At 45.0% G+C, this 13,354-nt stretch overlaps 1 protein-coding gene across 3 annotated transcripts in view, besides 2 other annotated features; it reads right to left on the reverse strand.

The window, feature by feature from the left end:
- Nucleotides 1-13,354, reverse strand: part of FAM184A (family with sequence similarity 184 member A) — a 189,366-nt gene that overhangs the window by 113,232 nt on the left and 62,780 nt on the right. Inside the window, exon 1 of one of the 3 annotated variants that reach the window (NM_024581.6) lies at nucleotides 5,147-5,670. The exons of the other annotated variants lie outside the window; for them this stretch is intronic. Coding sequence (NP_078857.5) covers nucleotides 5,147-5,305 — 159 coding nt within the window. The 5' untranslated portion in view covers nucleotides 5,306-5,670. Of the gene's footprint in view, nucleotides 1-5,146; nucleotides 5,671-13,354 lie in introns of those variants that run through there. 3 annotated transcript variants of the gene reach the window in all.
- Nucleotides 5,544-5,863: a silencer, noted in NCBI's record as "silent region_17508". NCBI's record gives its function as "represses an Ori minimal core promoter by ATAC-STARR-seq in GM12878 lymphoblastoid cells {active_cell/tissue: GM12878}" and the evidence as "EXISTENCE:reporter gene assay evidence [ECO:0000049][PMID:35858748]".
- Nucleotides 9,976-10,176: a silencer, noted in NCBI's record as "peak6067 fragment used in MPRA reporter construct". NCBI's record gives its function as "represses an SCP1 promoter by STARR-seq MPRAs in K562 erythroleukemia cells {active_cell/tissue: K562}" and the evidence as "EXISTENCE:reporter gene assay evidence [ECO:0000049][PMID:32103011]".

Consider the following 13,354-nt stretch of genomic DNA (forward strand, 5'->3'; position numbering starts at 1 on the left):
CAAACCATTCATATTAAGGTTACATGTAATAAAAGATACAGTCCCTAGAGCTGAGAACCTTACAGTCAAATTATGAAAACAAAGTATATTTATAAACACAATAAACAGTATTTGCAAGTTTGCATTATTAAGTATCAAGTAAGAGGTACCAACAATCAATGCTAACGCACAGCAAGGAAAGCCCAACAAGGGTAGCTGGTCAGGACAGTTTTAGTAGAAGAGCCATAAGCTGGGTATTAAATAAGAGGACTTGATGCTAAGCACAGAAAACACAAAATAAACTACTTCCTGCTGTTTGGGAACTTACACTGTACCATATATTACTTATGTCTATACTAGTTAAGTGATAAACAGACTCTGTATCAAAAGTGCAATCAACTAAAGAGGGATTTGATAAGCAGCTAACATAACAAGGTATTAAAAGGGAAGTTTCTGCTGAGAACCAGAGACGATAGAAATGACATTCCAAAGCAGCTGCCAGAACATTCTCGAAAATGTCAAGAGGCAGTCTAAAGAAGAGTGCTGAGATGTGTTACTTTCCACCCCCACCACTAGTGAGGTGGTGCTTCAAGAAGATTACAGAGTAGGTTTCAGAGATTTCCCTGGGGAGAGCTGTGGTAACAGGGGCCTGTGTCTTCAAGGGGGAAGGGTGGAAGATGCTTGTCCCACACCTAAAGCCTAGGGAAAAAGGCTTTGAGGGAATGACTTGAAGAACTTGACATGTGCCTCAAGCACTTTGAAGAACATGCTAACCTGGTACCTGATTAATCCCCAGAAAATCTAAATGATGAGAAGCTGCATGAAGAGGCATGTGAGAACAAGAGAGAGGGCTGAACTGGGACCACTAGCAGAGTTTGTGCAAAGAATGAGTGCTCCCTATGTGGCCTCTACGGAAGAGTGAACAACCTGGGGTGGGATCACACAAGTCCATGCAAGAGGGGTATCTAGAGTTTGCACAGACCTCAGCAAAGTGGAGGTGAAGGTACTGCTAGCTCCAAGAGGCTGAGGAAGGAGTAAGCAACCAATCAGCGCATAAGGGAATTCTCACTGTCAAGGAATTGAGGTGAAAATCTAGAGCCACTGAGGTGGGAGGTAGAAGATTCACCAGTGAAAGAATAAGCTTTAAACATCTGCAACGGCTACAAAAGCACTGAAACTAGATCACCAGCTAGCTTCTTCACTAATCAAGTAAAAGTTTGCTGCTCCTCTTTACTCTTTTCACTTCTTCCTTGACCAACTTTGGAAGGGTGAGAAACCAGAACTGGCAAGACAAAGCAGGAAGAGTAGAAAAACCAGGTAAGAAGTAAAAAGGCAATAATACCCCCTTCCCTAGTTACTGGTTTCCCCCTTGCAAGAGACAGAGCAAGAGACCAGTTAAGGGAGAAGCTTCATCTTTATTTCAGGCTTGGTCTGCAGTTTTTACTTGTTGGTACTGGGCATTTTAATTTTAATAATCAAATTGAGACTTTTGTGACTTTGTTACTGAAGGATGATTTGTATTATCTAAAAGCAACCAGAAAAATTAAGTTAACCCATGAAAGAGGATGAACCAGTCTCAAAGAGTAAATTGAAAGAGACAAAAAGGGAAAAAAAGTAATTTGAAAGTGACAAAAAAAAAGCTTTTATAATTACATCCCACAAGGCCTGCTTTTCAACCTGATATCCTGAAAAGTCAACACAGTGGAGAGCACAGAAGTATACAAATGTGGTCTTATAAAACATAATTGAATCCATCCAGCTTCACTGCCTATCTTGAGATAGTTCAGCCATTAACATTTGCAGAAACTTGCCATAATGTAGCTCAAGAATCTAATATTAATTCTTAAAACTTGACACGAGTGACCCAAATATGCTAGACTTCCTTTAAAAGGCAGGGACTGTGTCTTGCTCCCTGCTGTATCTGTAACATTTTCCAAAGTCTCCCTTACATAAAAGGTGCTTAAAGAACTGGTGTTCTCCTTACCATGAGAAGGCAGCTATGTTAGGCTCTTAGGAAATAGGATATGAACAAATATGCATACAGCAAAGACTGCTTTTTAATTAAAAATATATTGAGCTTTGCTATGGGCAAAATTATAATCTTTATTACTTTTCATGCTTATCCTTTCATAGCCAGCCAAACCTTTGAAACATGCACAATGTATTTTCAGAACATTCTACCACAATGCAGAATAAATGTGAAACCTTTAAACTTTGATATTCGAAGGAGAAAAAAAACTACTATATATACATTTTTAAAGAGTTTAGCAGAAAACCCTCAAAATAAGTACACTATCACACAACGCTGTTAAATGCAGAATGGTTTAAAAGGAGAGAAGCATTTTTAAAATATCCATATTTTATTAATACTCATATTGGTATATGTCTTTTCAGTGAGTGACAGCCTGAATGAAGAGCCTACTATGTGCCGCTACAACTCTGTAAAATAGGTACTATCATCCCTATTTTAAAGATGAGGAAACTGAGGCTCAGTGTTTCATGGCTTGCTCAAGGTCACAATAGTAGTAAGTGGTGGAGTGAGAATTTTAACTCAGTGTGTCAGGTTCCCACACTGCTCTTAAGTGTGCTGCTGCTATAATGCTGAAGAGTTGAGTTCTACTGACTTCTTTCCAAAAGAAATAAAATCCAATTTTAATTGTTACATTTACAGTGTACAATTATGAAATATTAGCCATTGTCAAGTTCCAACCATAGTTGGAACACACCTCTGCTAATATGAATAAACTCTTCATGAGTAAAAATTCTATATGGCAGGCAGTAGTAAAGTTCATAACAGTCCCTCTCTCTCTATGTTTATATACACTCATGATGTCATGCTTATGGTATAGTATTTACAATAAGTGTATATGACTATAAAATTTGACAACTTTCAAAATGGTGTATAAAGAAAGCAAGTCTTATATGTTTGTAGAAACAGAAAGATGTTGGCTCCAACAGAGTCCTATTATCAAACTGTTTCATTCTCAGGCCTCATCTTAGTAAATAAAAGCAGGATAATCCCTTGATATTTCAGTATATGTCAATGGTTCTTAATTGGAATGATTCTGTTTCAACTACCCTGCCCGCTCCTGGGAAATTTTGGTAATACCTGGAGGCATGTTTATTGTCATGACTGGGGGTGGGGGGTGAGGGCAGCTACTAGTAGTACCCACTGAGTAGTGCCAGGGATGCTGCCAAACATCCTATAATGCACAGGATATCCCACAATCAACAAGGAATTATCCAGTCCAAAATGTCAATAGCGTGACACTGAGAAACCTAGTATGAAGGATTAAATATCTTAAGTACTTAGCAGAGGGGGTGGAGAGTGTTTAGAGACTGTAACTACAAACACAAAACCAGAGAGTCCACGTAACACTCAGTAAAGATCAGATGAGGCATTCAAGCGGTGTTGAGAGCACTGGCCTGAGAGCACCCTCTTGTCTCATTAGATATGAGGTGGGTAATGTCATGGGAGAAAACACCAGCTTCCGATCAATACACCTACGTTTACCAGTGGTGCTGACTTATTTTTTTCTGATAAAAGAACAGGAAACTGAAAAAGTGTTAAGTAGAAAGAAAAAAAATGTACTGAAGAGCAACAGCATTTGTTAAACAGAACACAGTCCCACTACCAGTTTACTGAGTTTTCCTATTACTTACAGTAGGGCTCTAGAGGGTTACATCTAAAATGAGAACAGTGGATGTTATGGACACATCATAAGAGAAAATCAGAATAAATATTCACGTGCTTCATTCAGGACATCAATATTCGGAAGATCAAACACTACTGCAGGAAGCCTGGCTTTTAGACTCCAAATGTGTAAATGTTCTGATGATACACTACTATCATTCCTTCTTAGATTTTCCTTTCTCTGAATGCAATACTCTGACAAAAAAGGAAACAAAACACCGCACACCTAACAATTTCTGAGACAGTGCTGAGATCAAACAAAAGACAAAAAAGAAAACTTCACAAGACGTTGGTTGAGTTTTACTGTTATGTACCTGTAACTTTTCTTTTGCTCTTCCATTTGTGCTCTCATTTTGTAGTCCTTTTATGTTATCTTTTCTATCCTCAATCACATTTCTTCACTAAAATCTTTTTATTCTCTTTTCAACCTTTTTTCACTCCTATTTCCTCCTTTCCTCTCTTCCGAATCTCATGTCTTACTTCACTCTCTCAAAAGTGCCAACCAGCAATGGGATTATGTGAGAACTTTACAGTTGAGTCAGACTCAGAGGCTATCTAGCAGTAACCCCCACGATGCCCATCTCTCTTCAGCATACCAACTCTCCTAACAAGCTGTTAGGAGACAGCTTAAACACATTAAGGTATATCATCTTTCTTAACTTTCAGACACCACAAATCACTTCTTACCGATAGGTATTGCTAGATTGCTGGTGAGTTCTAAGCAGAGCAATATAACAGATATGAATTGCTCTTGCTTCACAGATACCAATTCCTTCTCATTATCAACATTAAATTAGAAAAAAAGTTCACTAATTTAGGTACAGTCCTAAACTACACGTGGCCGAATGTGAAAGCTAACTGCTCTTTGAAAATTATCCTTCGACAGACAAACATTGAACTAGATGCAGGCACAGTGTGAGATTCATCTAATAAGCCTTGTTTGACATTTTGTCAGGATAAGGAATGACTCATTAAATGCCCCAAATTGGCACTCAAGGTATGTTTTACCCTCCTACATTCCTCTGAAAGTTGATTCTTCCCTTAACTGAGTAACCAGTAAGATACTGTTTAATTCCGAGTCATATTAGGTAAATACGGTACTGTACTTCAAATGGTACTGTAGTGTGATGCCTCGTGGAGCCCTGGCAGATGCATGGAAGCAACAGTAAAGTGATTTAGTATTGTGAAATAAAGGAACTAAATCCTAATTTGTTCTGTGCTGGTTTAGCCCCAAAGGGCAAGGAGGTGCAAGTCCCTTACGCGCACCGTGCCGCTGTGCTGTCTAGCTTAAATTCATGTTGCCAGCGTTCCACCAAAGTTTGCAGGGTTTTGGAGGTGTCTCCGGCTGTTGCTTCGGCGGAGGAGTAGAGTTCCCCTCGCTGCGGGCGCAGGGCGCACTGCCTCCCGGGGAGACAGGTGAGTCCGGCGCGGCCCGCACGGGGTCGCCACCTGCCCCGTCGCTGCCCCCCTTACCTTGGTGAGCTGGGCGATTTTCTTGCTCATTTTCAGGTGCATCTCCTGGCTGTAGTCCATGCTGTGCCCAGCCAGCTGTGCGGTGGCCGGCGAGGGCGCGAATTTGGCCGCCGAGCCGCCGTAATAGTGCTGCTGCCAGCTCATGCCCGGGGTCGCCATCTTCCCAACAGACCCCAGCCGGGGCACCTGTCCCCGCGGGTGGAGGCAGGCCCGTGGAGCAACGACGCCCGGGAGGCAAGAGTCGCGGCGGCCGCTTCCCGACCCGACACCCGGCGCCCCCCAGACTCGGCCGCAGGCGCCGTCCCACCCGCGACCCCCGGGTCACCCCTGGAAGGGACGGGGCGGTCCCGCCGGCCCGAAGCCGCGGGGACAACGGCGCGGGGCAGATGCCCGGGGTTGGGCGGCGGCGGCCGGGGGCCGGGCCAGCTCTTGGAGGCTCCTCGGCCCGCGCCTGGCGGAGGCGTCGAGGACAGCGCAGCTCCGCGGGTCCCGCTCGCAGCCCGCACCGAGGACTCGGCGAGGCTGCGGAGGGAGGAGGAGACGGGGCGGGCTGCGGCGGGGATAGGCGGGGACATGGAGGAGGACGCGGGAGCCGCCGTTACCAGGGCGCGCGCGGGGACGGCGACGTCATTTCCCCGCAGCCAAGCCCCGCCCAGCCCCGCGCAGCCGCCGCCGCCGCCGCCAGTCCCGCAGCCCCGCGGCCAGTGCGGGCGCCTCGCGAGGTCGATCCGGGATCGTGCCGCCAGTGCTTCCCCCGTGTGGCGGGGATCCAGCAGCCCAGCCCTGGCGGCGATCCCCGTGCAGCGAGCGTGAGGCCTGACGTAAAAAAAAAAAGTATCCCCAAGAAGACGGTGCTGTAATCACCTTCGGTTAGCAGAACGGGTGTCGATTTACAGACCCTTTCCACATGCGTCCTCGTGTGTGCAGGGCCCCAAGAAGTGGCTCTTCCCCAAGAAGAGAGGCAAGCCCAATCCAGAGACATGAGTAGTGAAGTAGCGAGGATTCCCTGCCCTGACCTTCCTTCCAATGGCACACAAGTGACCGTGACACTGTCTTAGCCGCCCCCTCCCACCCCGAGTGCCCGGCCACTGCCCCCAGTTCAGTGCTGAGTGTATGTGTGGAGGGAACGCTCCTTTTCAGTCAGCTGGTGGAGCACCGCATAGCTACTTTCCCGCGGTGGAGCCCAAGACAAATAGATATGAAACTACTTGGCTGGAAATAAGTAAGAATAGGATCGGAGTGAAAGTAATGGTAAAAAAAACAGAAGATGGAACAAGACATCAGTGCTTTAAGGATTTGGAGCTGGGCCAAAATGTGTCATAACTTGTGCATTTTCGCCTTCATAAATGTGTTATTCCCTACTGATTTTCTCTTAACATCTCTACCCCTGCAAGTCAAATGATTTTTTAAAAAAGTTTTTGTATCCTGCATTGAAGCATGTGAGTCATTTTAGGGCATGGATAATACTTTAAAAACGTAGAATTGTACCTGTTTTTTTAAAAATCGTATCTCCACGCAGTTTTGCAGAACCAAATTCCCCAACTCCATGTGATTTCTTTTTAGCATGCAAGTAGCCAAAATATAAATCTGAGAATATTAACAAACTAGAGAGCCGAATTTAACAAAGATTGTCTGGATGTGACAACATCTAAACAAGGTGAAGGTTTAATCGGACCCTGAAATACTTTAAGATCTGTTGGAATTCCTGAAAGGAAACTTGAAATTGGCTCTTTTCCCAGATGCTAGGTACTCAGTCCCCCTTAAATAGACCTTCCAGGAAAAATGTTGTCTAGTTCCGAGGTTCTGAATGGAGCATATGGCCAGAAACAAATATCCTACAAATGTTGCTCCTTAAGCACTAATGATCAAATAAAATTAAAGAGAATTAGAAACTAGTGCTATTTCATCAAATTCTAGGCATGGAAGATTCACAGTCATTTTAGAACTCATGTTCTTTACGTTCTAAGCAGAAATGTATGCTCAAAAGACTCTCTGTTTCACTAAATTTGTATAGCCAAGTCTTGCTAGGACAAAGATATTTTTGTTTTTGTCACTATGATAAAGTGGAAAGAGAATAAGACTGGAAATAAGGAAATGAATGTGTAGCATTAGTTGAGTCACCCAACCTGTTCACTCCTCAAGTGCTTCCACTGAAAAGAGATGGTGTTACCAGCTGCTTCCAGCTCGGACTTGGTAATGAGAAGTTAGGACCCTGGTCCACTGGTAATTCACTCTGAACTCCATCACATGAGTTTCCATCATCACTATGTAGCATAGCCCAAAAGGACCCTTTTCTTAAATACTATGCTCAAAAGACATCCACTGTCACTTCATGAATTTAATATTTTTCCCCACGACAATGGGATAAAACAAGACACAATTAAAGTTATATTTAATTATAAATAATGAATAGAAACATAATATACAGGTCGAGTATCCTTTATCCAAAATGCTTGGGACCCAAACTGTTCTGGGTTTCAGACTTTTTAGGATTTTGGAATATTTGCATTATACTTACTGGTTGAGCTTCCCAAATCCAAAAATCTGAAATCCAAAATGTTCCAATGAGCAGTTCCTCTGAGTGTTGTGTTGGCACTCAACATTTCTGGTTTTGGAGCATTTTAGATTTTGAGTTTTCAGATTTGGGATGCTCGGTTGGTAAGACACCCTGTATTAGTCTGTTCTCACATTGCTATAAAAAAAAACCTGAGTCTTCATAAAGAAAAGAGGTTGAATTGGCTCACAGTTCTGAAGGCCGTACAGGAATCATAGAAGCTTCTGCTTCTGGAGAGGCCTCGGGAAACTTACAATCATGGCAGAAGGTGAAGGGGAGGCAGGCAAAATTTACATGGCTGGAGCAGGAGGGGGAAAGAGAGCGGGGAGGTGCTACACGCTTTTAAACAACCAGATCTCATGGTAACTCACTGTCATGAGAACACCACCAAGTGAATGGTGCTAACCCATTCATGAGAACTTTGCCCCTCAGAAAACTTACAACATGGAGGAAGGTGAAGGAGAAGCAAGACACATCCTACATGGTATCAGGTGAGAAAGAGAGAAAGAGAGACAGGAACTACCAAACACTTATAAAACTATCAGATCTTGTGACAGCTCACTCACCATGACAAGAACAGCATGGGGGAAGCCACCCCCATGATCCAATTGAAACAGGAAAAGTTCCCTTGTCCCCTTCGCAGGGCGTGCAATGGGAGTGTGACTCACTTCTTTAGTGCCCCGCTGCTCAAACCTCTAGGGGAGCACAGAGATGGGCAAGCTGTGAGGCTCAGACCCCAAAGCAGTGTCTAGGGGTGAATGTTTATAGCCGAAGCCACAGTGGGCATGTGTTACAGGGTGCTCTTTTAGCTTAGCTGTCTGTAGGTGGCTTGTGTTAGCCAGTTCAATTAGACCCCTGCCTTATCACAAGGACAGAGGGCTTTCTATATCCTGGGGTTCTTGCCTTGGTGTACTGGAAGAATTGGATCACACGTGGGCTTGGAGAATGAGTGCAAGGTTTTATTGAGGGGAAGTAGATCTCAGCAGATGGGGTAGCCAGAAGGGAGATGGTTTTCCCCTGGAGTTGGGCCACTCGACAGCCCAGGCTCTTCTCCAACTGCCCCAGTCAAACTCCTTGTTGTTCTGCCAGTCGACGGCCTGCTGGCATGCTGGTGCCTATCAGTGCATTGCTCTCAACGTCCAGCTGCCTGTGTGACCCTCCACTGATGTGCTCCTCTTGGCATCCAGCCACCTGTGTGTTACTCTGCTGATGTGCTCCTCTCAACATCCAGCTGCCTGTGTGTTCCTCCACTGATGTGCTCCTCTTGACATCCGGCCACCTGTGTCTGCCTGCTAGGGTCCCCAGGTTTTTATAGGCACAGGATGGTGGGGGTGGCAGGCCAGGGTAGTCTTGGGAAATGCAACATTTGGGCAGGAAAACAAAAATGCCTGTGCTCACCTAGGTCCATGGGCATAGGCCTGGGGGTGTAGCCCTAGCCAAGGACCACACCCTTCCCCCGTTCTGTATTATTTGAAGGGACTATGCCCTTCCCTTCCCAGCACTTTCCTTCTGTATCACAGTCACCTCCCAGCAGGTCCCTCCCCTAACACATGGGGATTTCAATTCAATATGAGATTTGAGTGGAGACACAGAGCCAAATCATATCATTCCACCCCTGTTCCCTCCCAAATCTCATATCCTTCTAACATTTCAAAACACAGTCATGCCTTCCCAACAGTCTCCCAAAGTCATAACTCATTCCAGCATTAACCCAAAAGTCCAAGCCCAAAGTCTCATCTGAGACAAGGGAAGTCCCTTCCACCTATGAGCCTATAAAATCAAAAGCAAGTTAGTTACTTCCAAGATACAATGGGGGTTCAGGCATTGGGTAAATGTTCCCATTCCAACTGGGAGAAATTGGCCAAAACAAAGGGGCCACAGGCCCCATGCAAGTGTGAAAACTGACAAGGCACTCATTAAATCTTAGGACTCCAAAATAATCTCTTTTGACTCCATGTCTCACATCCAGGACATGCTGATGCAAGAAGTGGGCTCCCAAGGCCTTGGGCAGCTCTGCTTCTGTGGCTCTGCAGGATGCAGCCCCCATGGCTGCTTTCATGGGCCAGTGTTGAGCGCCTGTGGCTTTTCCAGAACATGGTGCAGGCTGTCAGTAGACCTAATATTATGGGATCTGTAGGATGGTGGCCCTCTTCTCACAGCACCACTAGGCAGTACCCCAGTGGGGACTCTGTGTAGGGGCTTTGACCCCACATTTCCCTTCTGCACTGACCTAGCAGAGGTTCTCCATGAGGACTCAACCCCTGCAGCAAATTTCTGCCTGCACATCCAGATGTTTCTATACATCCTCTGAAATCTAGGCAGAGGTTCTCAAACGTCAATTCTTAACTTCTGTGCACCTGCAGGCCCAACACCATGTGTAAGCCACCAAGGTTTGGGGATTACACCCTCTGAAGCAACAGCCTGAGCTGTACGTTGGTCCCTTTTAGCCACGGCTGGGATAAAAGGCACCAAGTCCCAAGACCGTACAAAGTGGCAAGGCCTTGGGCCCAGCCCACGAAACCATTTTTTCCTCCTAGGCCTCTGGGCCTGTGATGGGAGGGGCCACCAGGAAGATCTCTGAAATGCTCTGTAGATATTTTCCCCATTGTCTTGGCAACTGATATTCCTCTTCTTGTTACTTATGCAAGTTTCTGCAACTGGCCTGAATTTCTCCCCAGAAAGTAAGTTTTTCTTTTCTACCACAGGATCAGGCTGCAAATTTTCTAAACTTTTATGCTCTGCTTCCCTTTTAAATAGAAGTTCCAGTTTCAGATAATCTTTTTGTGAATGCATATGACTGTATGCTTTCAGAAAAAGCCAGGTCACCTCTTGAATGCTTTGCTGCTTGGAAATTTCTTCTGCCAGATACCCTAAATCATCTAAGTTCAAAGTTCCACAGATCTCTAGGGCAGGGGCAAAATGCTGCCAGTTTCTTTGCTAAACCATAGCAAGAGCGACCTTTACTCCAGTTCCCAATAAGTTCCTCATCTTCATCTGAAACCACCTCAGCCTGGACTTCATTGTCTATATCACTATCAGCATTTTGGTCAAATTCATTCAACAAGTCTCTAGGAAGTTCCAAACTTTCCCACATCTTCTTATCTTCCTCTGAGCCCTCCAAACTGTTCCAGTTCTGCCTGTTACCCAGTTCCAAAGTTGCTTCCACATTTTTAGGTATCTTTACAGCAATACCCCACTATCCCAGTACCAATTTTTTGTATTAGTCTGTTTTCACACTGCTATAAAGAATACCTGAGACTGGGTATTTATAAAGGAAAGAGGTTTAATTGACTCACAGTTCCACATTCTGGGGAGACCTCAGGAAACTTACAATCATGGTGGAAGGCAAAGGGGAAGCAAGGCACATCTTACATTGTGGCAGGAGAGAGAGAGAGAGAAAGAGAGAGAGAAAGCAAAGGGGGAGGTCCCACTTTAAACCATCAGATCTCATGAGAACTCACTCGCTATCATGAGAATAGCATGGGAGAAATTGTCCCCATGATTCAATCACCTCCCAGCAGGTCTCTCCCTCAACACATAGGGATTACAATTCAAGATGAGATTTGAGTGGGGACCCAGAGCCAAACCATATCAGGGTTATAGGCACTGGGTAAACATTGTCATTCCAAAAGGGAGACATTGGCCAAAAGAAACCCAGTTTCTTTTGAGTTTGAAACCCAGCAAGGCAGTCATTAAATCTTAAAGCTCCCAAATAATCTCTTTTGACTCCATGTCTTACATCCAGGGCACACTGATGCAAGAGGTGGGCTCCCAAGGCCTTGGGCAGTTCCACCCCTGTGGCCTTCCAGGGTTCAGGCCCCACAGTTGCTCTCATGGGCTGGCATCAAGTGCCTGTGGCATTTCCAGGCACAGGGTGCAAGCTGCCAGTGGCTCTAACATTCTAAGGGCTGGAGGATGGCAGCCCTCTTCTCACAGCTCCACTAGGCAATGTCCCAGTGAGGACTCTGTGTGGGGTTTCCAACCCCGAATTTCTCCTTGGCACTGCCCTAGTAGAGGTTCTCCATGAGGGCTCTGCCTCTGCAGCAGGCTTCTGCTTACACATACAGGTTTTTCCATACACCCTCTGAAATCTAGGCAGTGGCTCCCAAACCTCAACTCTTGCACTCTGCACATCCGCAGGCTTCATACCACCAAGGTTTATGGCTTGCACCCTCTGAAGCAACAGCCCAAGCTGTGTCTGGAGCCCTTTGAGCCAAAACTGGAGACAGAGCAGGGAGCAGGGTCCTGAGGCTGCACAGGGCAGCAGGGTCCTGGGTGTGGCTCATGAAACCATTTTTCCCTCCTGGGGCTCCAGGCCTGTGATGGGAGAGGTTACCTTCAATGGCTTGGAGGCCTTCTGCCCATTGTCTTGGCTATCAGCATTTGCTTTTCTTTTCATTATGCACATTTCTGTGGCCTGCTTGAATTCCTTTGCTGAAAATAGGCTTTTCCTTTCTACCACATGACCAGGCTGCAAATTTTCCAAAGTTTTATGCTCTGTTTCCCTTTTAAATGTAAGTTCCAGTTTCAGATAATTTTTTTTCTCACACATATGAGCATACATTGAGAAGCAGCCAGGGCACATCTTGAACGCTTTGCTGTTTAGAAATTTCTTCTGCGAGATACCCTAAATCATCACTCTCAAGTTCAAAGTTCCACAGATCCCTAGGGCAGGGGCACAATCCAACCAAATTATTTGCTAAGGCATAACAAAAGTGACATTTGCTCCAGTTTCCAATAATTCCTCATCGCCTTCTGAGACCTTCTCAGCCTGGACTTCATTGTCCATATCACTAACAACATTTTGGTCACAAAAATTTAACCAGTTTCTAGGAAGTTCCAAACTTTCCTTCATTTTCCTGTCTTCTTCTGAGCACTTCACACTCTTCCAATCTCTGACAGTTACCTAGTTCCAAAGTCACTTCCACATTTTCAGGTATATTTACAGCAACGCCCCACTCTTTGGTACCAATTTTCTGCATTAGTCTATTCTTACTATGCAGAAATATTTGAGACTGGGTAATTTATAAAGAAAAAAGGTTTAATCGGCTCACAGTTCTGCAGGATGCAGAGGACGCATAGAAGCTTTTGCTTCTAGGGAGGCCTCAGGAAACTTGCAATCATGGAGGAGGGTGAAGGGGAAGCAAACACGTCTTACATGGCCAGAGCAGGAGAAAGAGAGAGTGGGGGGAGGTGCTACACACTTTTAAACAGCCAGATCTCATAATAAGTCACCCATTCATTATCATGAGAACAGCACCAAGGGGATGGTGCTAACCCATTCATGAGAACTTTGCCCTCATGATCCAATCACCTCCTACCAGGCTGCACCTCCAACAGGACATTACAATTCCACATGAGATTTGGTAGAGACACAGATCCAAACCATATCACACCCATAATCCCATCACCCAAACCTCACTTTTAAAAAAATCTAGCAAAGTTAGCATGTGAAAGAGAGAAAATGAGAGAAACTAGTTAGGCAAGAAATCTATACTTAGTGCCTGTTTCTTTCATGAGATTGTTTATGCAGAAATATTTGTTGACTGCCTATTGTGTTCCAGGTACTGAGGCTGCAGTGATGACTAAAAAGTAGTCTCTTCAGGGCAGTAGTCTCTATCCTGAGGAAGTTAAAAGTCTAGTGAAGACAGACA

This window comes from Homo sapiens, chromosome 6, assembly GCF_000001405.40.
Source record: "Homo sapiens chromosome 6, GRCh38.p14 Primary Assembly".
Taxonomy (NCBI): Eukaryota; Metazoa; Chordata; class Mammalia; order Primates; family Hominidae; genus Homo; species Homo sapiens.